General features: G+C 36.9%; 1 long non-coding RNA gene across 2 annotated transcripts in view; it reads right to left on the bottom strand.

Annotated features, from left to right (window-relative positions):
* The window catches only part of LOC105374056 (uncharacterized), a 56,435-nt gene extending 29,912 nt beyond the window's left edge, over positions 1–26,523 (bottom strand). For both annotated transcript variants that reach the window (XR_924361.3, XR_007096021.1), the window contains exon 1: positions 1–26,523. This exon is cut by the window's left edge and continues 3,500 nt beyond it. This is a non-coding gene — a long non-coding RNA (uncharacterized LOC105374056).

Here is a 26,523-nt window from a genome sequence, read left to right as displayed (position 1 = left end):
AGTGAACTGATTTTGTCTGTGCAGTGGTCAGGTGATTACAGGATCTGTTATAATATTCAAATTCCCACTTAATGATTATCTCCTCCAGCCAGGTCTCCCTTTACTATCTGAGCCAATTAGTGTCTCTCTGCATCTGGGCCAATTAGTGTCTCTCCCCATTATTCTCTATACTAGCATCCTCTTATTAGCTCCATGGCACTCACACACATTTGTTATTATGCATCTTTAAATTTGTTTTGAATTTTTCATTTGTATGTCCCTCCCCTCCCTATTCCTTGCCTGGAGCATAGTAGCTGCTTGATATACTTTGTTCTGTAAACAAAAGAACAAAGAAGCTCATTCCTTAACATGCACCACTCTTTCACTAATAACTTTAGTTCTCTCCAGCAGGTAGCCTCAAAAGAATAAAATTAAAATTTTATGAATCAAAAATAGAAATTATTTACTCTTTAAGCATTTGTATGTTATAGTAAAAGTAATAATGAGGATGAAGACTCGTACTTAGAAGTGTTTACTGTGTGTCAGGATGTGCTGCATAGTTTATTTTATTGAATTCTCATTAACAACAACAAAATGAAGAAGAAAGCAAAAGTGAAGCTTTTGAAGCTTAAGCTGCCAGGTCCTTGCTTGGACAGCCTCCTTCCAAACCCCAGAAAGAGAGGTTTCTGAGCTGTGCGCCTGTGGGCACTTTGTATGTATGCTTTTTTTTTTTTTTTTTTTTAGACGGAGTCTCTCTCTGTTGCCCAGGCTGGAGTGCAGTGGCGCGACCTCAGCTCACTGCAAGCTCTGCCTCCCGGGTTCACGCCGTTCTTCTGCCTCAGCCTCCCGAGTAGCTGGGACTACAGGCACCCACCACCACGCCCGGCTAATTTTTTGTATTTTTAGTAGAGACGGGGTTTCACTGTGTTAGCCAGGATGGCCTCGATCTCCTGACCTCGTGATCCACCCACCTCGGCCTCCCAAAGTGCTGGGATTACAGGCGTGAGCCACCACGCCTGGCTGTATGTATGCTTATTTTTTTATTTATTTTTATTTTTTAATAAAGAGACACCCTTCCCTATTATGCAATCTAATCTTCAGACTCTATAAAACATGAATTCATTCCTGAAACTATACTTAGAATCCCTGTTTTACAGATGAAGAAACTGAAACATTGAATTCAAGTTAACAAGAACTAGGAACAGATGAAGAAATGTTCTGGACCCTGATCATGTAACCCTAGAAATTATGATTTTAACCATTACATTGCATGGCAGTGTGAACCAAATATAAGATTCTAATACCCCCCAGTCAACTGAAAGAACCCATCTTGGCCAAGGGGATCCCAAAGAAACATGAAAAACTGGTTCAGGCCATGATGTGAAGGGGGGCAATGGACCTGCCTCACTCTATTCTCCTCCTTTTGGAGTTTGGGCACAACTGACCAGATTTAACATTAAAATAGAGATCATAAGAGACAAAACAGATTCTTTGTAGTGATAAGATACTCAGCTCTAACCTGACTCTGGTATAGCATCACATGACGGAAAGCAGGCCCTGAAGGAAATCAAAGTATTTTACCTTAAAATATATTTTCTTTGACAGATTTTGAAATGGCCCTGCAAAGCCATCTCTTGGGGAAATGTGGGGGTTTGGGGTTGTGAAGGAGGCAGTACAAGCAAGGACCTGGCAGCTTAAGCTTCAAAAGCTTCACTTCTGCTTTCTTCTTCATTTTGTTGTTGTTAATGAGAATTCAATAAAATAAACTAACTAGGACATCCTGACACATAGTAAACTTTCCTTTCCTTGGTAGGTCTTTTCCAGAGAGTCTGACATCTTTTAAGGTCAGGTAAGAGACATTTACCATCTATTATCTGTAAAGCCTGTTAATTAGAGGCTTCTTCTATATAACAAGAACCTTGGCTTTCACAATCACCCGTATTTTAACTCAAGCATTTCTTTATGATGACTTCAACTCTTCCTGCAAAGCATAACTCTTTCTACCAATTGCCAATCAGGAAATCTTTGAAGCCACCTATGACCTGGAAGCTCCTTCCCACCACCCCCAGCTTCTAGGTATTCTGCCATTCTGGGCTGAACCAATATATACATATACATATTGACTTATGTCTTTGCCTGTAACTTGTGTCTCTCTAAAATGTGTAAAACCAAGCTGTAACCCAACCACCTGGGCACATGTTCTCAGGACCTCCCTAGGCTGTGTCATGAGCCATGGTCACTCAAATATGAGGCTCAGAATAAACTTGTTTAAATGTTTTACCAGGTTTGGCATTTTTTGTCAACAGTAGATAGCAAATAGATGCACATTAGTAAGATATAAGGACTATGAAGGCATGGCTAATATTTCTACTGATAAGACTCTTCCTTGAAAGAAAAAAGAGCTTAGTAATATGGCAGAATGAATTTTAAACACTTAGAATCAACAATTGATGTGCCCTTACTATATTTTCCCAATACTGGCCTCTATTTCCTGGGATCCCCTAGCTCAGAACTTTGACTCACATTGCTACAGCTTGGCTTTCTTTCATTTAACAGTAAGTCAGCTCCTTGGTTACTTTCCTAAGCTACCAAAAAGCGCAGATAGTTCTGCTTCCTATTACCTTAATTCTTCAACTTCTTCACATTCCTATAAAGCTAGGTGATGATATCCTAGGCAAATGTTCTGTTGTACAGCAACCTTTGTGAGTTCATTGTTGGATTGCATGGTAGGGAGAAACAAACAAAAACCCCACAAAAACAAACAGTGTATCATATGACAAGCTGCCCTCCAAAATGTTTTACCTTTTCTCCAGCAGTAAAATGGGGATAATACCCATACACATCTACCACACTGGATATTTTCAGATAATGACACAATAAATATACAGGCATTTTGGAATTAGGAGAGATATATAAACACAAAAATCATTATACCACCAGCAAGTGATTGGATGTGCATTAGAAATATCCACATCTTTCTCAAGATAGTAGATATCGGCTATAGTAAATGAGCTTAGTTGGTTAGACCAGCTGACCTTCTAAAAGGTAATAGTGAGAGGAAAAAAATCAAGAGTTCGGTATACTCAGTTTAGATTAATAGAGATACTTATTATATTTACCTCATAAATATTAATGTATTCAAATTAAATAGGTAACCCCAGCAAACTACTTAAAACACTGATACAGGCTAAAAAGATAGGCAAAAATCTGTGTATAGTTTGCTCACTGTTCATCCTCACTTCTGTGAAAGAGACCCAGAGTCTCATTCGTTAATTCTTCCATTCATCCAACAACTGTATTTCTGGAGCTAGTGCTAGGTGACAGACTTTCTGCCTTGTCCCAAGGACAGAGTACTGGGCAAAAATAGCCACATTCCTTCTATCATGAAAAGTGTAGTCCAAGAGGAAAGCAGACATTAATTAAATAATCACACTAATGAATTCATTATTTCAAATGGAGTTACATGCTTTCAAAAAGAGGGCAATGTAGTACTGTAAGAATTCATAGCACGGTACATAATATGGAGGTTGGGAAAGATTTCCCTAAGGAAATGAATGATCAAATGCTAATGAACAGGACTTCGCTAGGGAAAGGAGGTGGGCAGGAAGCATTCTAAGCAGGGGAAACAGCATGGACAATGTGGGACATTTCTGTCACAGAAAGATGCCTGGCATTCCTGCCATCCTGAGAGCCAGAGGGTATGTGGGTTAAGATAAGAATGAAGAGAGAGGCAGAGTCAGACTATAAAGTACCACCAAGGCTCCTCCAAAGATTTTAGTCTTTATCATAAGACTAATGGAAAGCCATTGAATGATTTAAGGGTGTGGTGGTGGTAGGATGAAGGAGTAATCATTTCGTTTGTGATTTAAAATATCTTCTGATTTAGTGGACAAGATGAATTAGATTGAGCCCAGTAGACAAAAGGAGACCAAAAAGAAGACTATCGTAGGCAAGAGATGACAGTATCTTCGACTAAGATATTGGCAGGTCATATGGAGAGAAGTTGCCAGACTCCAGGGTCACCTGTGATTTGGTGCTGCATGGAGGGTGGAGATTGCAGGAGAAGGATTAGGGATGCTTCCCAGACCTCAAACACCTCAAGTCCACCGAGGAACTTATATGACACTATTCTACAAAGAGTGAACATTTATGGATGGACCTGATTTCTTTGCTACCTTGCTTTATTGATTTAATACATAGTAGTGTGCTCTTTCTATGCCAATGTTTGTGCCAGTTAAACCAACTCAGCAGTTGGTCCTAGCCTATCAACTGCTAAGTTCCACTGGGCCATCATCTTTAAAGTAGTCTCATCTATGTTCCAAGGAAGGTGTACAGAATTCTATTTTGGGTGCACAAGATAGCTATCTATTTCTTCTACTGGTGGAACGCTTTATTTTCAAAGCAAGCCTTATATCTGTTATGCTTTTTACTGAAAAAACTAAATATGTTCTGATTTTGTAGAAAACTCAGCTACTATTATTGTCTTCAGAAAAGTGCCCAATTTTTGTGGTTTATTTCACAGAGAGGCATAGCTGGATGTCGGAAATGATTATAGAGGTGTAATGTGCCCACTATCAAATTCCAGTCTCAGGCAGTATTCAAGACACCCACAAAACAACAGGACTTTTTTATCACTACGCCTGATAAGGAAGCAAATTCCCATTTAGGTCTACAAATGCAGGCGCTCATTGTCTGGTTTTGGTTATTTCTAGAAACATAAATAACCATATCTACTGGGATATTCATGCTTTGCTATATCACATGCTTTGCCAGTGTTTTGTGTTGACAGCTAAAGATACACAGTTGGCCATTTGTACCAGACAATTCCTCCTGAATAAGAGTATCCGTTCCTGATATCCAACGTTAAGGGACTCTAGTAAGTACAAACTAACCATAGGCTACCAATAACAACAAACCAAGTTGTCAAAGACTAGAGTACATTTTATCTTTCCTTGAGATTTACAAATGCCTTTCATAAGAAAAAATATTTTCGTTTAAAAACCTGGATTTATAAATGGCGATTTTGGAGGACATTTGTATGTGTCTCAAAAAAACACAGCTGGTATATGCTGAAATAAATGTCAAAATACATTATTTTGTTGCTGTTTTAGCATAAAATTATGTTTTTTATCTGACAGACCTAACTTCTCATTATAAATGGAAGATGGTGTGATTCCAGATATTTGTTAGATACAATTCAACAAATACTCAACATTATTTATGTTATTCAGGGAAGGAGATCTAGGAAAGAACTTTAAAAGGAGTTAGGCCTTTGTATTGAAAGAGCTACAGTCTAAATGAGAATCACTTAAGTAGCAGTTAGATTAATGTTAAGGACAAACTTCAATTCTCTGGCCTCAAAATGAAATATTCTCAAAAGTAAGGCTAATTAAAATGATTCAAATATCTAAGAAGTAAGATTTATTTATGTATGCATTAAGGTTTTTGTGTGTGTATTTTTGGGATATTTTAAAATAAATATGCATTTCCAATGGTGGGAGTTAATTGCAACTAGTATAAACTCCCATTTTAACGAATATTGTTCAATAACCATTTCTGTGTAACAATATTGTAATATCCAGTACAATTTCCAACAGTTGGCTCTTATTAACATTACTATATCTGTCAGATATAGATATAATAAAATCTGTTTAGATTGAATCCTGTAACAAATGTTTTCATAAGTCACTGTATGATTAGCAATTATCTTTTATTTGAAGATTTGTACAATATTGAATATTCCCAATGAAACTAGATTTTTGCTAAGTGACATTTTGATGATATTCTGGTACCTACTTGATCTGTTTTTATCTGTTGACATTCCTTTCTTTAAAAAAAAGATATCAATTTTATCTTGTGTACTTCCCAAACTTTTGGAGTTGTAAGGTGGCCAGGCCTGATCTTTAAGTAAGTATTCATTCCTACTAATGGAATGTGTATTAATTTTCTTGCATAGCGTGATTTGATGTAATTAGTTAAACATGTCAATACATAAGTGGAGTGTCCAGTTAGCTTCAAAATTAGAATAAAGTTGGTATCACCAAAATAAATCACCTATTAAAGAAAATTTTCCACTGTTTCTGAGAGTAGATGATTAGTGAAACACATTTCATCAACATACTGCCAGTTAATTTTTCTTAAAACTTGACAAATAGAAAATAAATCTTTAATTGAAATGGAAAGCAAAGGAACTGAATATGAGCTAGCAAATGCTCTGTTGAATCTTTCTTTAGCTCAAAAAAAAAAAAAAAAAAATCCAAAGACAGAATAGTGACTTTTCACTTTTTATGAAGTTAAGATTTTTTTCTGAATATTATACAATATTCCCTTCTTTGGGATGCCTTCCACTTGTATTCAAATTAAAAATAATGTTAATAATAAATTATTAACATTGGCTGTGATAAGAAAATTACATGATTATCTTTGCCTTGGAGCAATTTATAAATCCATGAAGTAGATTGTCTTGTCAACAGAATAAAAATGATCAGTTAATGTTTTGTCATCACACTTAAGAGACAGAAAACACTTTTCAATTCTAAACACGCTTGAAAATCTCAGTGAAACCGAATAAAACAGTAACACCAATTTGCCATTGAATAGAATTAGATGATAAATAAGTTTGTATTTGGAAATAAGCTTATTTTTTTACATTGTTTGCTGAAAACATCCCAAAGAATGTATTTTGGAAATTTTAATTTTAACTTTAAATATTAATTTTGTTTGTTGTTTTCCTCCATAAGACTCAAAATGAAGTAGCTGAGGTGTTTTAGTTTTTGTTTCCTTTTTATATATTTTTTTATTGTTAGTGTTTTTAACTTAATAGATCCTGCGCCTTCCTGGTCCTTAGAATGTTATTCCTATTAGGCATTTCTGCAATTCTGAAAACTAAATTTCTCACTTTTTGTGTGTTTAATATGTGTGTGTTTGTGTGCATGTGGATACATAGAACAAAAAGCTGAATTATTTGCTTTAGTTTTTTTCAGTTGGAACAAATACTTCATTTTTGCAGACTATATATTTTTAACCACTTTCTTTTGAAAACAATTGAAAAGGGAGGAGTCAACAAATCTAACTCATTAACCAAACAGACCTTAAATGTGGGCAAGTCTAACTGTATCCTTAGTCTGACTCTTCTAACTTCTCATGAAAATATAACTCTAACTGGGGCTACCTGGATGCAACTGCTTTGCTCATTTTATTAGACGAGCATCTCTTGACTTCTATCTTTCCCAGTATTTAACTCAATTCTGATTAGTCCTTCTTCCTTCTCTTAACAATCACTTCTCTTTCATCAGGTTCTGGCACACAATTACATGCACGGTGCCAAAGGAACCATTTTTGGCATTAGCAATAGATATTTCCTGGATTAATCTATTCCGTTTTTAAGATTTAAAAATATATTTGTAACAACTTTGGTCCTGCAGGGGCAGAAACGTGTGATACTTTTTCTCACCCATCGTAAGTGGGTGAATGTTCCTCATCCAACACTCTCATAAACCAAACACAGTTTAACAACAAAAAAGCACAACAAATTTATTAATCAAAATTTTATGTCTCACTAGAGCCTTTAGAAATGAAGACCCAAATTCCAGGGAAAACTGTCCACATTTATGCTTAGATTCTATGAAGAATGGACAGCTATGTAGAAATGTGATTAGATAAAAGGGTATATCTAATGGTAATAAACTAAGAGGGTGAACCCAGCTAGGCCCGTCTGATCAGATTCTTTCTGGCCTCTCTGTAGCACTTCTTCCTTCTGGGTATGAGGCACTGACCACCTGCAATGAGGGTCTTCAAGGGAAAAGGGAGAGAGTTACCTTTCTAGGTTTTATGCCATGCTTTGGGGAAGATGAGTTCTAGCTTCTGTAACCAGCCTTGGAGAAAAGAAATACTGATTTCTATGTTTCACTTCCAGGGAGAGAGAGAGGTAGGAGACATGATTGGAGAAGATCAGAAAGACCTCACTTCTGAGGTCTTCCAGTCTCCTTCAGTTTAAAATACTCAGCATGCCAAAGTATCATACTTTCGGGTAGTGGGTTCTGAGCCCTACGTTTTCTAATGTGTTCTCTTGTACAAACTGCAAATAAACAAACAAATTCCTGAAAGACTAAGATGAAAAATCTGATGTAAGAGAAAGGTATGAAGGAAAGATAAAACTAAGAAAGAGATGATGCAAACAGAAAAATAAAGTATAATCTCAGTGTGATCAAACATTATTAAATGAGGAACAATTTTTAAGCCAGAAAGAATATTAGTCTACCTATTAGAAACCTATTTTTGTATGTTTTAATATAAATTAAAAACATTAATACTGTGAATTTACAATATCTGCTTTGAGTGTTTTTTTTTAAATTGTTTATTACTGAAGAGAATAAACCTCATATAACAAGAAGGAAATAGGTAGGGAGGTATTCAGAAAATAAATAAGAGGAAAATTATTTCCCCTCTATTGTGCCTTTTTTAATCCTCTCATTTATGTGTAAACTACTCCCAAGTCTTTGAGGAGTAACATCTTCTCAGACACGAAGGATGTATATGCCCAAACCTTGCACCTAGGCAATCAAGGGATGAGGCTCCAGTACCAGCAGAGAATTCCTCTTCCTGGACAGTACCCCTAAGCTAGCCAACATCTGCATGATATATGATTATACTCTTCAGCCTTCTTCTACTTCTCAAGCTCCTTGTTAGTGATCTTGAACTCAGTGTCTTTATATTTCACCATCAACTAATGCACACTTTTAACAAAATCTGAACTCAGAACTTAATATCTTCTTAATTGATCTGCCAGAAAGTAGTTAAATTTAGTAGATAATTTTCTCCTCTGTCTATTGAAAACCAAACTGTTTGACACATTTTAATGCATTTAAGGAAAGGATAAAATACTTGCAGATACTAAGGGAAACTCATTACTAGGCAACTATCCTAGAACAGCAAACCCATGTATTCTTGATAATTATTTTAAATTACCTAAACTCTCCAATTTTAATAAGATGTTATTAGCATCATCCATTATTTGTTCTTGTCCCTTACAATTTGTTTTACATTAAGAAATAGGCATATTAATATTGATATGGTTTGGCTGTTTCTCCACCCAAATCTCATCTTGAATTGTATGTAGCTCCCATAATTCCCACGTGTTGTGGGAGGGACCCCATGGGAGATAATTGAATCATGGGGGTGGTTTCCCCCATACTGTTCTCCTGGTAGACAATAAGTCTCACCAGATCTGATGGCTTGAAAAGGGATTTCCTGTTTTGCTTGGCTGTCATTCTCTCTTGCCTGCCACTATGTAAGATGTGCCTTTCACCTTCTGCCATGATTGTGAGGCCTCCCCAGCCAAGTGGAACTGTGAGTCCATTAAACCTCTTTTTCTTTATAAATTTCCCAGTCTCAGGTATGTCTTTATCAGCAGCGTGAAAATGGACTAATGCAAATATTAACCTTATGAACAAGCCCATTTTGCAAAACAGACCTGCTGTATGCAATCCATGAAGCAGCTGAATTCAGCAATCACCAGCTAAGTGAGTATATATGCACTTTGGATTTCAAGAGATCAGGGCTAAGTTGCTGATGTGGGCAAGTCACACAGTCAGCTCATAAAGTCTTAATTAAACATGCATTGTACTTTTTACATTCTAGTATACTAAAATCTACAGCATCCTTTAGGAACTTTTAAAATACTCAGCAGAGTCTTAGCACCTCATTTAGCAACCATTGACTTAGGCCAGTGATTTGGATGGATAGTGTTTGGATTCAATCACTTTGATACAAAGAAACAAATAGAAGTCAAGTTAATTATCATATTGCCTTAGTTGGAATGGTTTTTTAATATAGCAAAAGGAGCGGGAACAACCTATGATCAACTCTATTTGTTAGGCTTTCAGATACCATGGCTTTCACATAGTAAACAGTAATTTTGTCACTGGAATCATCTCTGTGCCCAGGAACAATGGCCTCATCATTCATAGCACCCACAACATCTTTCTAAAAGAAGACTCCCTGGAGTGAAAACACTGTCATGGTTTTCATAAAATCCTGTCCAGTAATAGCAGAATGGGTGAGAAACTTATTAATATAACAAGCTGTTAGTTGTGAATTGAATTGAATTATTTACAGGTGTACTGGAAAGTACTTGGTGGTAAGACCAAACAGACCAAGTTCAAGTTCCAGCTCCTCTCCTTCCTAGTTACGTGCTGAGAAAGTTACTGGACATCTATGGCCCTTAGAGTCTTTTTCTCTGTAAGATTGGGTTAATCAGACCTCAGGAATATTGTTAAAGGATTAATATGATGGCAAACAGTCTCAGCAATATCATGGGCACCCAAAATCATAGCTTTTGAGGTTAGCACTATAAGCAGTAAGGGGAAATATTTTAAATTCTATCACAACTTTTTTTGTTAGTCAAAAAAACAAAACGAAACAAAAACAAACCCCACATTCAGCTGTGTACTCAGAGATTTGGTGAGATAAAACAGAAAGTATGCTAATCATTTACACAGTTAAGAACTTGGGGATCATGTACTGTTGGAGGCAAATTAGAGGTTAGTATTACAAACAACCATCTTGATAAATAGAATGTGGGGCTGAAATCAATAAAATAGGATTCAATAAAAACAAATATAAACCGCACAAACAATTGTTCCACGGGGATGGAGATATAAGCTATAATGAAAGATAAATTGACAATAAGTCAACAATACAATGGTGTCATATAAAATCCCAGACACTGCTTTGGGGTATATTAATAGGGAGAACGTGGATAAAATGAGAGGTAATTATTTTGTTCTACAAGCACACTTTAGGCCTCAATTGGATAACTGTGTTTAGTGTTTGTTCCTCAGTTGAAAAAGAATCATAGATAAGTTTAAATCAGTTCAGAAGAGAGCAACAAAAATGATAAAAGCCCTGGAAAATGAGATCTATAAGGAAACATTAAGGGAACCAGGCATGCTCAGACAGAAGGAAAGATAACAGAGAAGCAGAGTAACTATTTACACCTAGGAAAGAGATACTACAAATGAGAGAAGGGAACTGTGATTCCCACTAGACACTTGGAGCTGAGTGGATTGGGCTTGAACTACAATAGTTACAACTTAGTTTAAATATTAAAGACAACTTTCTGAATAAAGAGTAGTTTAACATGGAAATAAGTTACCTTTGGTGATTATGAAACCTAGTTAATAAATCATTTTAAAGTATTAAACTTGGAATTATTATTTTGTAGTTTTAATACAGTGGCAAGGAGATGACTCAGCTCATACCCAGCCCTGTTTATACTAATCACAGCTCTACAAATATGCCTATTTTATGCCTCCCCTGACATAATTATAGATATAATCATCATCAATCTGCTTTTTAAAAAAGGGGTTCTTTATTATTTAAATATGTTATTTTGTTAGATGTTTTGTCGTGATTTTTCTGGTAGAATTACGTCTTTTTCCCTTCAATATTTTTCCATTTTTTTGATTCTTCATATTCTTATTAGAATCAGATATACTTATTTTTGCCATCATAAGTGATAGAAAGCTATAATGATACTAGGTGACATGAATATATTTTCTGACTCAAAAACTGTATGACAAGGCTTGCTTGTATTTTATAACTTCCCGGTTTGGCAGGTTCAGTAAACTAAAGTAGGTAAAGTATTCATTAGGGGCAGACGACGGACTTTTAAAGGCAAGACAATCAATCCTTTTATATTAATCTTGATTCTATTTATGACTGCCATAGAACTAAATAAGCACAGCCATTTATTATGTCAACTTAGACAAGCAAGCTGAGATTCAGTTACCTTTTTTCATAAAAGGAGGATAATACCAGAACTAATAAGAATAAATGAGACTATTTATGTAGAGTTCCTGGTATAGAGTAGGCATTTAATAAACAAATCTTCCCTCTGTTTGCCTTCCTTTAACAGTATCTTAAATGGCACTTCTCTGCACAAACTCAGTAGTAGCCCTCTGTACCCTATATAAATTCAGTCCCAGTGGAGCTGCATTCAAGGCCTCCAGCTGTATTCTTCCTTTCAGGTCTTAGTTCGATTGCTTCTTGGTTGAATAGGAGTTGAATTGCCAGCAGATGGGACCATATGTGAAACTGTAAAAACCTAAAACTATCCAGAGAGCAGGTTATTAAACAATGGTCAACAGGAAAACAGGGAGTTATGTATACAGGTGGCACAGGGGATGCTTAGACACAAAATTTAGAAGTTATTTATAAATTTTTATTTTTTTCTATCACAATGTTTATACACATTCACTTAAAGATATTAACTTCAATATTCCACCTAGTTTTTTTAATGAACATCACAAAGAGTATCAGTGGGACAGGTGCATTTCAGATTGTAAGCTTTATAAGATTTTAGTACCAACATCGCTGTTAGGTAAAATTGGTGTTTGAACTTTATCTTGTAACTCAAATCTCATTTTCTAGCAGATGTTAGCTGACTGCCTCAGTGGCTCTGTTTCCTGTGTTTACAAGGAGCATTTCCTACTCACTGTGACTGCTAAGAAAGGTATCCTGACCCTGAACAGTCTGATAACATAGTATGGGGTCAGTCCTACTCACCTCGAAGGGTAGATTGAAACACCTAGAAGTCAGTTAAGTTATTGGAGAGCTGGGGTTATGTCTTTAAAACAGGAAAAGCATCTTTAGGGGAGATAGGAGAAGCAGGAGGGGAGACAGGGAAGGGGAATAATTAAAACCAGATGGAAAAATAGATCCCTTTCTGCCTGGACAAATGGCAATAGCCTATTTGCTGGTCGTTCTACTTCCACTTCACCCAACTGTATTGAGTCCTTAGCAAAACATCCAGAGTTATTAATCTATCCTTCTGTAGCCCTAATTATTCCACATTTCTCTGTAAACAATTCGAAATTCCTTACTGTAGCCTAAAATTCCTTTATCATTTGGATCCTATACATTCAAATGTATTGAAAACCACTCCCCTCGTTGCTGCCAAAGGTCAGCATATGTTGCCTAAACTTCAATTCCTCAAACACACCAAGCTCTTCCCAGAGACCATGCGCTTTTTAATTTTCATCTGGAATGCTTTCTGCTGGCCTTTGCATGCTATCTCCTTTTTATCATTTAAGACTCAGATTAGACATTACTTTCTGAAGGTATCCTTCTTTTTCTTTTAACCTTCAAGTATGTTTTTTATCTTAATCTCTAGCACAGCGTAAACATGTCTCCCGGCTGGGCGCGGTGGCTCACGCCTGTAATCCCAGCACTCTGGGAGGCCGAGGCGGGTGGATCACGAGGTCAGGAAATCGAGACCATCCTGGCTAACACGGCGAAACCCCGTCTCTACAAAAAATACAAAAAATTAGCAGGGCGTGGTGGCGGGCGCCTGTAATCCCAGCTACTCGGGAGGCTGAGGCAGGAGAATGGCGTGAACCCGGGAGGCGGAGCTTGCAGTGAGCCGAGATCGCGCCACTGGACTCCAGCCTGGGTGACAGAGCGAGACTCCATCTCAAAAAAAAAAAAAAAAAGAGCCTCCCTTCATAGTACTCTTTTTAATTAAGTTAAATATTTATTGATTGGTTTATCTCTTTATCATCTGCCTCTTCAACCAGTTTGTAAACTCTGTAAGAACGAGGCGTATGTCTTTCAGTTGCACCATTACATTCTAAGTGTCTTGCATAGTACCTGGCTATTGATGGAAACATAAAATATATGTCTAGAGGACTGAATGAATCTCTGAAATTCTTATCCTCACACCCAAGCCCTTGGTCTCTGTTCTGTGTGGTATGCCTGAACTAGTATTAATTGGCTATTAAGGCTTTCTTTACTTTTTTTTTGACATTGGGCTTTGTCATTTTTGATTTCATTAGTCTTTCTCTAATACAATTGGCTCAAATTAAGAGTAAGAAACAAACTCGATGTCTCATCTTATTTCAAAAATCCTTCACCCACTAATTAAGTACCTATTTCTTCACTGTAGGGTTTTCAACTTATTTGTGAAGTGGAAGTGACTCACATGACCTAGATTCAATAAATAATTCAAACACTCCATTTAAAAAAAAAATAATACAAGTTACCGGTTGCATCACTTTTCCAAGATTTTTTCTGATGGCTCATCAATTGCAAATGTACAGTAACCATAAGAGATGCAATTTGTTCTGCAGTAAGAAGAAATTCTTACCAGAAACCCTTAAATTCTGCTGAAGGTTATAAAACCATTTCATATCAGTGCTAATAATGAACTGATGCTGTGGAAGCTTCTGGTCCTTATTACTTAGAAAGGTTTATAAAACTTAAAAGGAAAAAATATATTTGCAAATAACTTTATCTGTTTGTTTTCTTATCATTTTCCAGTTCATACATAAACACTTCTTATTCTTATATTATTCAGTCTAAATAGAAATCTGCAGTATAAACAAGCAAAAAACAAGACCAGCAAGATGTTCAGATAATTCTTGGCCTAAGAGGTGGTATGATATGGGTAGCGGTAAATATAAGCATGTTTTACTCATATATAGCATCTGAGAACTAAAATGTGGTAAATAATGAGTATTTGTTAAATAAATAAAATGTCATACATATGACTTACGTAAGTTCCAAATAAAAGTGTATAGCAGAAATTTAACTAGCACTTAGTAAATAATTGAATAATATTTCTTTTGACTATGACTTTTTAAAGTGTGAAATTTAGTATTAATCTTATAAAACATAATCATGGATTTTACTGGAATTTTTATACGCTAAGAGTTTAGTTTGGTTTTAGATCCAGCCTAAATTCCTCTAAGCCTTGAGGTGGTCATTTATGTTAGAATTTTTATCTTCTTATAAAGTATAAAAAGTATTTTTATTGATCCTCTGTGATATCATATTCCTCATTCAATGTGAAAGAGTAAATACTATTTTTGTGACTGAAATATACCATTACTTATACCAAAAAAGCATGATTCTACTCTGTAATTTACTTCTGACATCAAAGCCTGGAATGTTAAATCAGTACTTTTGTTTGAACATGATAAGGGCTTATTGGAGTCTTAAACTCTAGTCACTCTGTATAGATAATTGTGCATTTTCTTAGCCCTGGATTGCGGTAAGCATTTGATGGAATATACAACATGTAATTCAGGGCATTGTATAGTGGTGATTTTCACACCCAACAATAACAGTAATAGGAATATTAGCTTATATTTGCATGTACAAGTATTTTTTACATGTATTCCACATACATACAAAAAAGTTGGCTTAAGTATTCTCTGCATTTTAGAAATGAAGAAACAGAGGAAAAAGAGTTGCTGAGAAATTCTCTCAAATCACATAGCAACATAGTGAAAGTGATTCAACTGTTTTTTTCATACTTAAACCATTATCTCTCATCTGGCATGAAGACAGTTCAATGCCTTATATCCTTTTTTTAAAAATTTATTATTGTGTATAAACTATGCTGCTATAAGAATGATAGAATTGGTAACTTGGCTAAAAAGTATAATATTTAATATTTTATACTCTTTTTATACATCATAGTTTGCAGCAGAACTAGGACTATACTTTCTAGGATTGAGGCTAGCTTGAGTAGGAGAGAACACAAATGCATTTGTAGTCATATAGTAAACCCACTTCATTCAAATGTAAAATAAAATAGAAAAAATAAACAAAATCAATTTATTAAAAATGGATGAGTCTCTATAAACCAACTAATTGAACACAAAAGTCATCATTTGTTTAACATTGCTAGAAATAGGTCTGTTTCCTTCATTCTGATTAGATTCATTGGATTCAAGGTTGAAAAATTTAAGCTAAAATAGCGTTTGCATGAGAAATAGCCAGAAATGAAGAGATGATGATGGCCAATCACCACTGTCAATAATAATCATTCGTATTTATCATTTCTTCACACTCTGTATTAGCAAAGTGCTTTACAAGCAGTTACAACTCTATTTGTCTATAAGAGACCTTGAAAGTCCTCAGTTCTCTCCTCAGTGCATGAGGCATGAGTGGTCACAGTGCTGGGCAGGTGTCAATAACATAGAACTGTTAAGTCCTGAAATGGTTTGGCTGTGTCCCCACCTAAATCTCATCTTGAACTGTAATCCCCATAATCCCCAAGTGTCTAGGGAGCGACCTGGTGGGAGGCGATTGGATCATGGGGGTGGTTTCCCCCGTGCTGTTCTTGTGATAGTGAGCTCTCAGGAGATCTGATTGTTTTATAAGGTAAGAACCCCTTCGCTCCTCATTCTTCTCTCTCCTGCAGCAGCCACGTGAGAAGGTCCAAGCTTGCTTCCCCTTTGCGTTCTGCCATGATTGTAAGTTTACTGAGGCCTCCCCAGCCATGTGGAACTGTGAGTTAATTAAACCTCTTTCGTTTATAAATTACCCAGGCTTGGGTAATATCTTTATAGCAGTGTGAGAACGGACTAATACGAATAGCAATCAGAATGTCAGGACTTTTCACCCATTGCCAAAAAAATACCTTAGAGACTGGGAAGGAAATGAAAAGCCCTAGTAAACGTCATTAAGGCAATGATCTCTGGTGGTGGTGATGAAGAAGACAAAGAAGAATAAGAGGAGAAGGAATAAGAAAAACAAAAAGTGAGACTGCTTTTTTAAAAAATAAAAGCATGGAAGCCAAACAGTTACAGAATAAAGCAATTCAAATGAGAACAAATATCCCATCAAAGGTATGTACCTAATGAAAAAATAGAATCAAGTAGCAACATCCCTCTCACCAAAAAAAAGGCTGGAGAATATATTTGTACAAAAAGTCAGATGATACACAATGCTTTTAAAAAGATATCCTTCTGGCTGGGCACAGTGGCTCATGCCTGTAATCCTATCACTTTGGGAGGCTGAGGCAAAAGGATCCCTTGAGGTCAGGAGTTCAAGACCAGCCTGAGCAACATAGGGAGACCGTGTTTCTACAAATTTTTTTTTTAAAAATTAGCTGGGCATGATGGTGTGCACCTGTAGTCCCAAGCCACCCAGGAGGCTGAGGTGGGTGGATCACTTGAGCCTGGGAGGTCAAGGCTGCAGTGAGCTGCGATCGCAACACGGTACTCCAGGCTAGGCAACAGAGTGAGACACCATCTCTAAAAAAGCAAAACAAAACAAAACAAAAAGAAATCCTTCCAAAGATGGCCAAAAAGTTATTACTTACTTGTGTCCAAGTTTTCAGGAAGCACAGGAGAATCCTTAAAGACAATAATGAGGGACCTATATCTTTCTCTTGTCTAGGGTAATCAACTAGCATTGTCTTCTTAAACAATTACTAAGATCTGTTACAATAAGTTACAATAAAATGTGTTTAAAGTTCACAGGTGTATTATTCCATTCTCATGCTGCTTTGAAAAAATACCCAAGACTGGGTAATTTACAAAGAAAAGAGGTTTAATTGACTTGCAGTTCCTCATGGCTAGGAAGGCCTCAGGAAACTTAAAATCATGGAGGAAGGTAAAGGGGAAGAGAGGCACCTTCTCCACAGGGCAGCTGGAAGGAGAAGAGCTGAGTAAAGGGGGAAAAGCCCCTCATAAAACCATCAGATCTTGTGAGAACTCACTCACTATCATGAGAACCACATGAGGGGAACCACCCCCATGATTCAATTACCTCCCATTTGGTCCCTCCTATGAAACATAGGGATTATGGGAACTACAATTCAAGATGAGATCTGGGTGGGCACACAGCCAAACCATTATCAATGGTTCATTTGAAATTTTCTTTCCTCAGTAGGACTTATCTTTTAAAAAACCTCCTACTCTCATATAAATAATAAGAGTATAAAATCATATGAAATTAACTGCTTCCACCATGAACAGATGGAACAGGATCATCTTGGTGAAGTGAACTGGACCATCAAGAACAATTGGGTTCCATTTCTGCTTGGGGCACTTCTTAGTTCTATGACCATCAATAAAAAAACATTTTGGGGACCGGGTACGTTGGCTCATGCCTGTAATCCCAGCACTTTGGGAGGCTGAGGCAGGTGGATCATGAGGTCAGGAGATCAAGACCAACCTGGCTAACCCAGTGAAACCCCATCTCTACTAAAAATACAACAAAGGCGTGGTGGCACATGCCTATAGTCCCAGCTACTTGGGAGGCTGAGGCAGGAGAATCACTTGAACCCAGGAGGCGGAGGTTGCAGTGAGCCGAGATTGTGCCACTGCACTCCAGCCTGGGCGACAGAGCGAAACTGTATCTCAAAAAAAAGAAAACACTTTTGTGTCTCAGTTTGCCCACCTTTAGAACAGATGGCCTCTAAGATTCTTTCTGCTCTGATATGACTTTCTTCTTCTAAAGTCATCCATACTAGTTATCAACCTGCTTTTGTCTTTAGGTGTAAAAAATCTGCATGTTTGTCTTTTCAGTTTAAATCCTATACATTCCACATAACAAGTAAATATTGTAAGTGCACATGTACTTGAACTTATAAAATTCCAAACACTTAATATGCAACTCCAGTTTTGCTTCAAGTGCTACGTGAAATAATTGGAGATAGGACATGACACAGCATGGTATCACATAGCACTGAATCACGTGGTGAGAAAGTTATTCTCTTTTCACATCTCTTCAACCATCTGATTATACCAAGAGGAGTCTAAGTTTGGTGCTAATAAGGCTTTAACACATTTATAAACACTTGGTAAATTTCTCTTTAAAAAGAAAAAAAAACAGTTGCAGTGTAGGACTAAGGCTCAGAGCTTTCAACTGAATCCAAACAGACAATGATACCATTATTTTGTTTTTGCAGTTTTTGTCCTATTTATTTGTAATAAGTGATGCTTATCTTTTATATATAACAGTAATATAATTTTACAATTATGGTAAATATGTTAAAAAGAATGTATTTAAAGGAAAATATTAGTGGAGACAGTGTGTGAAAATGGCAAAAATATGAAAAATATTAAATCTGAGAAAAACTGGGCTAAGCAAAATGTTCCTCAAAATGGCCTGTTGTGTCACCTCCTGCCAAACACGCTGGATATTTTGAAATTCTGCTTTGTAAGTTGAATGAGCACATTCTTTCAGAATCTGAAGTGTTTTAACTCAGTTTGGTTGTGAAGTCATTGATTCAGTGTTAAATAAGCTAAGTTTTTCAGAGCCCATGAAACTTGTAATCTTGTTCTGATGACAACCATTTATATTCTGAAATCTATAACTATATTTCAAATTTTGACAGCTTTATACCACACAATTTCGGCACAACTGTCTCTTCCTTATAATTTCAGAAGCCTTCACAGCCTAGAAAGTTGATATCTGTAAATTACTTTATAATCAGTGGGCTCTGCTAGACATGGAAGAATTATGTAAATTAATAGATCAATAGTAAATAAACTTTCAACGGCTTAAGGTATTTTTACTTATAATAGTCAATTATTTTTAGTAATGGATTAGTTTTAAACATACATTATGTATTACAATTAAGTAATACATCGTCAACTTTTAAAAAATTTTATACTTTTTATTGAAAATGATTATGGCCAAAGTAAAATTGAATAAGACCATATTTATTCAAATATTCTTTAGTATACATATTTCAAAACATCATATGCATTATAAATACATACATTTTTGCTTATCAATTAAACAAATAAATTTCAAAACATTTTAAAGACTGATGCTGTGAATATAGGGATGATGAAAATATAACCTTGCCTTCGTAAGTGTTTACAGTGTAGTGAAGGAACCAGATGAGTAAGAGGTAAGAAAAAGTTTGATAAGTGCTTAGAAGCACCTATTAGGGATATCTAAGTTTGTCCATTAACTACAAGACTCTGAAATACTTTTCATGTACTTAATTTTCATGCTAGGTCAGACTGTGAAGCTTGTAAAAACATAATGATCTGGATATACCCACGCAAACTGTAACTTTCCCAAACAAGTCTGATGTAAACTGAATGGACATTCAGTGTGGCTTATCCTCTACAATATGGGATAGGAAAGGAGACCGTAAGATCACAGATGTGACATTACTACTTTATTTTTATCTTCTTTCCACCACTTTAGAGCTTATAACATGTTTCCACATGTTATTTCATTTCATCCCTGTAATGACCCAGTGAAAGAGATAACACTCCATTTCTCATTTTAAAAATGAGGAAATGAAGTATAATAAAGTTAAGTAAATTGGCCAATATGACATATGTAGAAACTGACAATAGCTGGACTTTAACCTTTCACTATACTGATGCTGATTCTGTTGGTTTGAAATGTCAGGACTAAATAAAGATGCATTTTTTTTTAAAAGAAGAAACTTACACCTCACAAAGACGAATGTTATATCCAAATTCACATTCCTGCATTTTAGAAAAAACACCTGTATTTAGATAAACGTTGGGAGGAATTATCTGGCCTGCTGACTCAACACCTGCATAGAAACAATGTCTTGGAAGGACAGCTGGATGTGACTGGCATCAAAAGACCTGGGTTCTATGTTCTGCCTGGTTGCAAGTTATTTGTGGAAGATTGGGCACAACTGTTGCTTTTCCATTTATATCTATCTATCTATCTATCTATCTATCTATCTATCTATCTATCATCCATCTATCTATCTATCTATCTATCTATCTATCTATCTATCTATCTATCTATCTATCTATGAAGACAGAGTCTCGTTCTGTTGCCCAGGCTGGCGCGATCTAGGCTCAGTGCAACCTCTACCTCCCAGGTGCAAGCAATTCTCATGACTCAGCCTCCCGAGTAGCTGGGACTACAGGAATGCGCCACCATGCTCGGCCGTTGTTTTTTCCTTTTACAGAATATCTATTAGCTTCACTTGCTAGAAGAGGGGAAGGGACACCAGGTGGTGATTGTTAGCTTTTCCTGTAAGACAGAACTGAAGAGCTACACTCCAGGAGGACACAAATAGAGAGATGAATAGTTATAGAAGGTTCTACAACATCTGTTATCCAAAAAGAGACCAGATTCCAGGAATTTAAAAGAACTACTTTGAAAAATTTCTGGAACATTTGTACATCTCTGTAATTGTCAGTTTAATCATCCAGGTCTTTTCTTGGGTAGCTATTGGCAGTAAAACCGTTATGCATAAAAGGGAATAAGTTTGTATTTCAAAAGCAGTAAGGAAATGGAGCTTTCTGTAATACTCAGAAAATTTTGTAACTTTGTATGTTTCTTAACTTTCCCCAATTCAACTGTCTCGATTTTCCTGGTAATGTGCTGCATTCGTTTTTTAGGGCTGCTGTAACAAAGTACCACAGACTGAGTGGCTAAAACAATAGAAACTTACTCTCCCACAGTTTTAGAGGCTCAATGCCCAAGATCAAGGTGGCAGCACGCTTGGTTCCTTCTGAGGGCTGGGAGGGAGAATCTGTTCTATGCCTCTCTTTTTCTTCCTGTGGTTTGCTAACGATCTCTGGTGTGTGCCTTGGCTTGTAGAACATCGCTGTGATCTCTGCCTTCATCTTCACATGGCATTCTCCTTTTGTGTGTTTGTGTCTCCAAACCTTCCCTTTTTATAAGGACACCAATCATGTAGGATTTGAGCCCATTCTAATGACTTTATCTTAATTAATTATATTTATAATGATACTACTTTCAAATAAGGTTATATTCTGAGGTACTGGAGGTTAAGGATTCAACTTACGGATTTTGAGGGGATTATGACAAATCAACCCATAACATATTCACTTAGCTGAGCAAATCACTGCACAGGTACTTGACAAGTTTAACAGTCAGGGTACCACCAGAGAAATTGAACAAGTTGGGGTGTGTGTGTGTGTGTGTGTGTGTGTGTGTGTGTGTGTGCGCGCGCGCGCATGCACGCATGTGTGAGTGAAGAGAGACAGGAGAGTTCGATTTGTTGCAAGGGATCGTAATGTGATTGTGAGGGCTAACTAGGCAAGTCCAAAATCCACAGGGTAGGCCATCAGAAGGACAATTTGGAAAGACTTGGGCAGGAGCTGATGCCACAATCCACAGGGGAGATTTTTTCTTCCTCAGGGAAACATCAGTTCTGTTCTTAAGACTTTTGAACTGATTAGAACAGGCTCACCCAGATCATCCAGGATCAACTCCTTTACATAAAGCCAACTGATTGTAGACATCAAGCATACCTACAAAATACTTTTACAGCAACACCTAGAGTAATGTGTCATTGGATAGTTGATCACTACAGCCTAGCCAAGTTAACACATAAAACCGACCATCACATAAATAACAAGGAAGGGGGCAAGAGGTACTTAATATATTATATCTTGAACCCAAATGAACTAAAGGAAACAATCTTGGGTGTATTATTAAGTATTGCTGGGCTGAGTGGTTCCTGTTTGAGGGGCTAGGTGTGCACAGAGTTTTCCTGCTGCTTTGCCACAGCCCAGCACCATTGGTGTATTTCTCCTTTTACCGCCACCTTAACACAACCTCCTCTCTTCCAGTGTGCATCGTGGAGCTCCAGCTTCATTCTTCCAATTCAATCCTGTGCTCTCTAAAGGAAAAAAAAAATGCCCAAAGCAATTTTCACCCCATCACACACTGGTAATCATTTTATTTTTCTGATTATGTTTCCCTCTCTCTTTCAGCCCTTTGGTAAATTATGCAGGGACCCTTTTTTCTCATTCTCTCTTTTTCTGTCTCTCTGTGTGTCTATGCTAAGTGCCAGCTGTCATTGCTTGGCAGATAATTACCATTTTACAAACAGTATTTAGGGAAATGACATCAGTTTCTGAATGTAGGGCTGTCATAGCTTATTCACGGGGCTTTCCTCTGTTAACCACCTTCTCTGTGTGCAGGCAGGGTGGAATCAGTGGGGATTAAGGGGAGGGGAAAAGGGAAGACTTCTCTGCTCCAAGCTTTTGGAGAACAATTGCATCCCATTTGTCACTGTTAGTCTGACAACCCTTATTTCACTCCTCCCAAATTCCCCTTGCCATATTTTGCTTTTTGTGGATAAATAAATGAATGCTTGCATGAGTTCAGTGGACTAGCTCTCCCATTTGCAGTGTTTAATGCAAAGCTGGTCAGTAGAAAAACAGAAACTGCTGATTTCTGTCCTGGGTGGTAGCATCAGTTGAGTGACGTGGAGCTTGCTCTCTTTTAATGTTCTCGATTGTTCTGTTGAGGGAAAAAATCCTAAAATATTATGAGGTACAAACTAAAATGGTTTAAATTTCTTAAATTAGTTAAATAATTACTGCCTCCCAGTAATGTTGGTGAAGATCCTTTTAAATGCATAACTTCGGGTAGATACAAACAGGCTAAGAAAATGAGAAACACATGTATTAACTTCAGTTTGAGAGTCAACTGGTGTCATGAAAAAGCACTAGATTTCAACTTAGGTAATCTGCATTCTATTCTGAACCCTTAGTTAAGTAAGATAAGTCATTTGGTCTATCCAGCCCTCAGTTTCTCACTATAAAATAATAATGACAACAACAACAACAAACTTTCTATGTGTCAGATGCCGTTCGAAGTACAGATGCTTCTCAACTTACAATGGTGTTACATCCTGATGTAAGTTCAACATGTTGTAAGTTGCAAGTGCATGTAATAGACCTAACATACTGAACATCATATCTGAGCCTCGCCTACCTTAAATATACTCAGATCACATAGCTGGGAGCTGTGGCTCACTGCTGCTGCACAGCATGGCAAGACAGTATTGTACTGCATACTGGTAGTTTAGGAAAAGGTCAAAATTCAAAGTACAGTTTTACTGAATGCATATCACTTTTGCACTATAACCAAGTTGAAAAATCCTAAGTCAAACCATCATAAGTCAGGCCATCTGTACTTTGTTTATGTTAATTAGTTACCTCTCTATAATGTTATGAATATATTCTATTACCCATATTTTACAAGCCAGGAAATGAAAGCACAGAGAGGTTTACTGGGTTAGATGTTAGACAGTCTAGGTTCAGGTCTTTGGCCACAGCAGGGGATGACTAGCTTAGTGTTTTCAACAAGCAGGGAAACTGGTGAGAATGGCATAAGAGATCTTGCATATTAGTCATCTGAGGATCCTATAACATTAGGTAGAATGCCTGTTTCTCCCACCTGGAATCTCTGTGATCCATTCTTGTATTCTTCCCCAAGTGAAGTATCACTAAGAAGGGAAGGCTATATAACTTGGAAATGCTTACCAGGTTGATAACTATTGACCTAGATGGTTCCTGGCCTTCCTGAGACCTAAGGAAAAAGGTTCTATGCTGGCAGCAAAATGGGCTGAATAGCTAATGCTTTGTAAAGTTGAATTACAATTTTTATTGAATCAGAGAAGTGATCTGAATGAACAAGTATTGTGAGTTCAAGTTTGTGGCAAGTCATTTGGTGCATTTCTACAGTAGGAAATCATAAGCGGTTTCTGACTCATTAATTGCCAATTTTCTTACAAAGATCTCTTTAGTAAGAACGGCCCCTTAGTGTATAAAGCTGCAGCCCTGGTGGCCTGGTTCCTCCTCACTATAGCTGAAGATGCTCTTACCATTTTTGATTCTACTGGAATTTCACATTTGCTTTCTTCCCTGCCACAGCTATCCCCTTTCTTCCCTTCCTTTTTCCCCTTTCTTCTCTGTTACTTAAGTGTAGCCAGAATTGCATCAAGGGTAGATGTGTTCCTGTCACTGTAGCTAGAACTGAGAATGAGTTTGATATCGAATAAATACGATACACTTGGCTTTAGGGCTTATTATTTTATAAATATTATAACTTAGTAATACGATATTAGGGAGATAAATCAGATTGTATGGGTACAACTGCAACCCCAAGGAAGCCTCTGGTTTGGTGGACAAAACACACACCTGTGTTTTGTCTTATGTATGTTATGTCTGCATGCATGTGTGTATAAACACCTGTTAAACCTGAGAGACTTCCTTTTAAATGCTGACTCTGTCAATGTTTGGTTATACAACGTTAAGAAAGTCACGTATTTTTAGCAAAAATTAACCTGGCATGGTGGCAGGTACCTGTAATCCCAGCTACTTGGGAGGCAAAGGCAAGAGAATTGCTTGAGCCTGGGAGGCGGAGGTTGCGGTGAGCCGAGATTGCGCCATTGCACTCCAGCCTGGGCAATAGAGTGAGATTCTGTCTCAAAGGAAAAAAAAAAAAAAGAAAGTCATGTAATGTTAAGTTTTCTCATTCATAAAATGGAGATAATAATAATTTCCCTGCAGTACTGTTATGACAAAAAGAGATGATATGCCATACATATGTTGAAATTTAGTGAATAGTAACCATTATTATCAATCATGCTCTTATAAAATTACTTCTATGAGGGACTGTAAAGCCACATTCCAATAAACAACTTCCATGGTATTTGTAACTATTTTATAAAATATTGAGAGTTATTTGTGGATTATTACAAAACATTCTCCTTTATTTAATTTTATATTTATAAGTAAAAGATAAAAGCAGGAAATAAATTACACTTGCCTTAGCAACTAAGCTAAATATAATGATTCAGAGTTTATATATATTCTACGTAAAAATAAGTCACATTTGACATTCTGGTAGAGATTTGGTGAAACAACCAAATAATCATACACAAACATATACAAACACACATACACACATGCATGCAGACATAATATACACAAGACATATACACAAACACACATACACAAACTAGACATAAACATACACAAACACACATACACACATGCATGCAGAGACACACAGATACACACACCCTGTGTTCAAACAAGACTGTCCTAAATCCTTCCATTTATTGCCTATCTTAATGCAACTTTTCTCTGTTCTTAATGTAAAGTTTTCATTTAGCATAACTTTTTTTTTAATCACATCAACTGAAGAGTGATGAGGTTTATAAATTTGGAAAGGAGAGCTTTATTTCTTACAAAGGGTTGCAGCCTGCAGGGTGGCCATTCTCACAGTCATGGAAGCACAGCCTCTAGGCCAGAAGCCAGAAAGAGGCACTTCCCTTTTTTCTTTTTCTTTTCCTTTTTTTTGAGACAGCCTCTTGCTCTGTTTCCCAGGCCAGAGTGCAGTGGCGCAAGGCTTACTGCACTGACTTCCCCTGACTTCCCAGGCTTAGGTGATTCTCACACCTCAGCCTCCCACGGTGCTGGAACTACACGTGCGCACCACCATGCCCAGCTAATTTTTGTATGTTTTGTAGAGACAGGGTCTCACCATGTTGCCCAGGTTGGTATTGAACTCCTGGGCTCAAATGATCTATCCACTCAGGTCTCACAAAGTGCTGGGATTACAGGCGTGAGCCACGGTGCTTAGCTCACTTCCCATTTTTCTATTATATCACAAAAGCAACGAAAATGGCTCCACAACAAACAAACAAACACTCTTAAATATCGTTTGACACTTAGAACCTAGAAAGACAAAGATAGCCCACAAATAGGCTTTTCTTGACTTTTTCCGTATGTCAAGTATGGGTTTATCAGATTAGCTGGTTATATGGAAATGTTGAAATGTGAGACAGTTAAAACAAAAAAAGGCGGGGGGAGGGGAATTGAGCATTGAAAAAAAAGCATTAGCATAGAATACAAACAGCCTCCCTCACACTCATGCCTCGGGTAGTGAGAGAGACTGCGAGCCTGAGTCTAGTGTGTACCCTAAAACTTAAAGTATGATAAAAAAAAGAAAAAATAAAAATAAAAA

This window comes from Homo sapiens, chromosome 3, assembly GCF_000001405.40.
Source record: "Homo sapiens chromosome 3, GRCh38.p14 Primary Assembly".
Lineage (NCBI taxonomy): Eukaryota > Metazoa > Chordata > Mammalia > Primates > Hominidae > Homo > Homo sapiens.
This window is presented reverse-complemented; position numbering and strand designations above follow the sequence as displayed.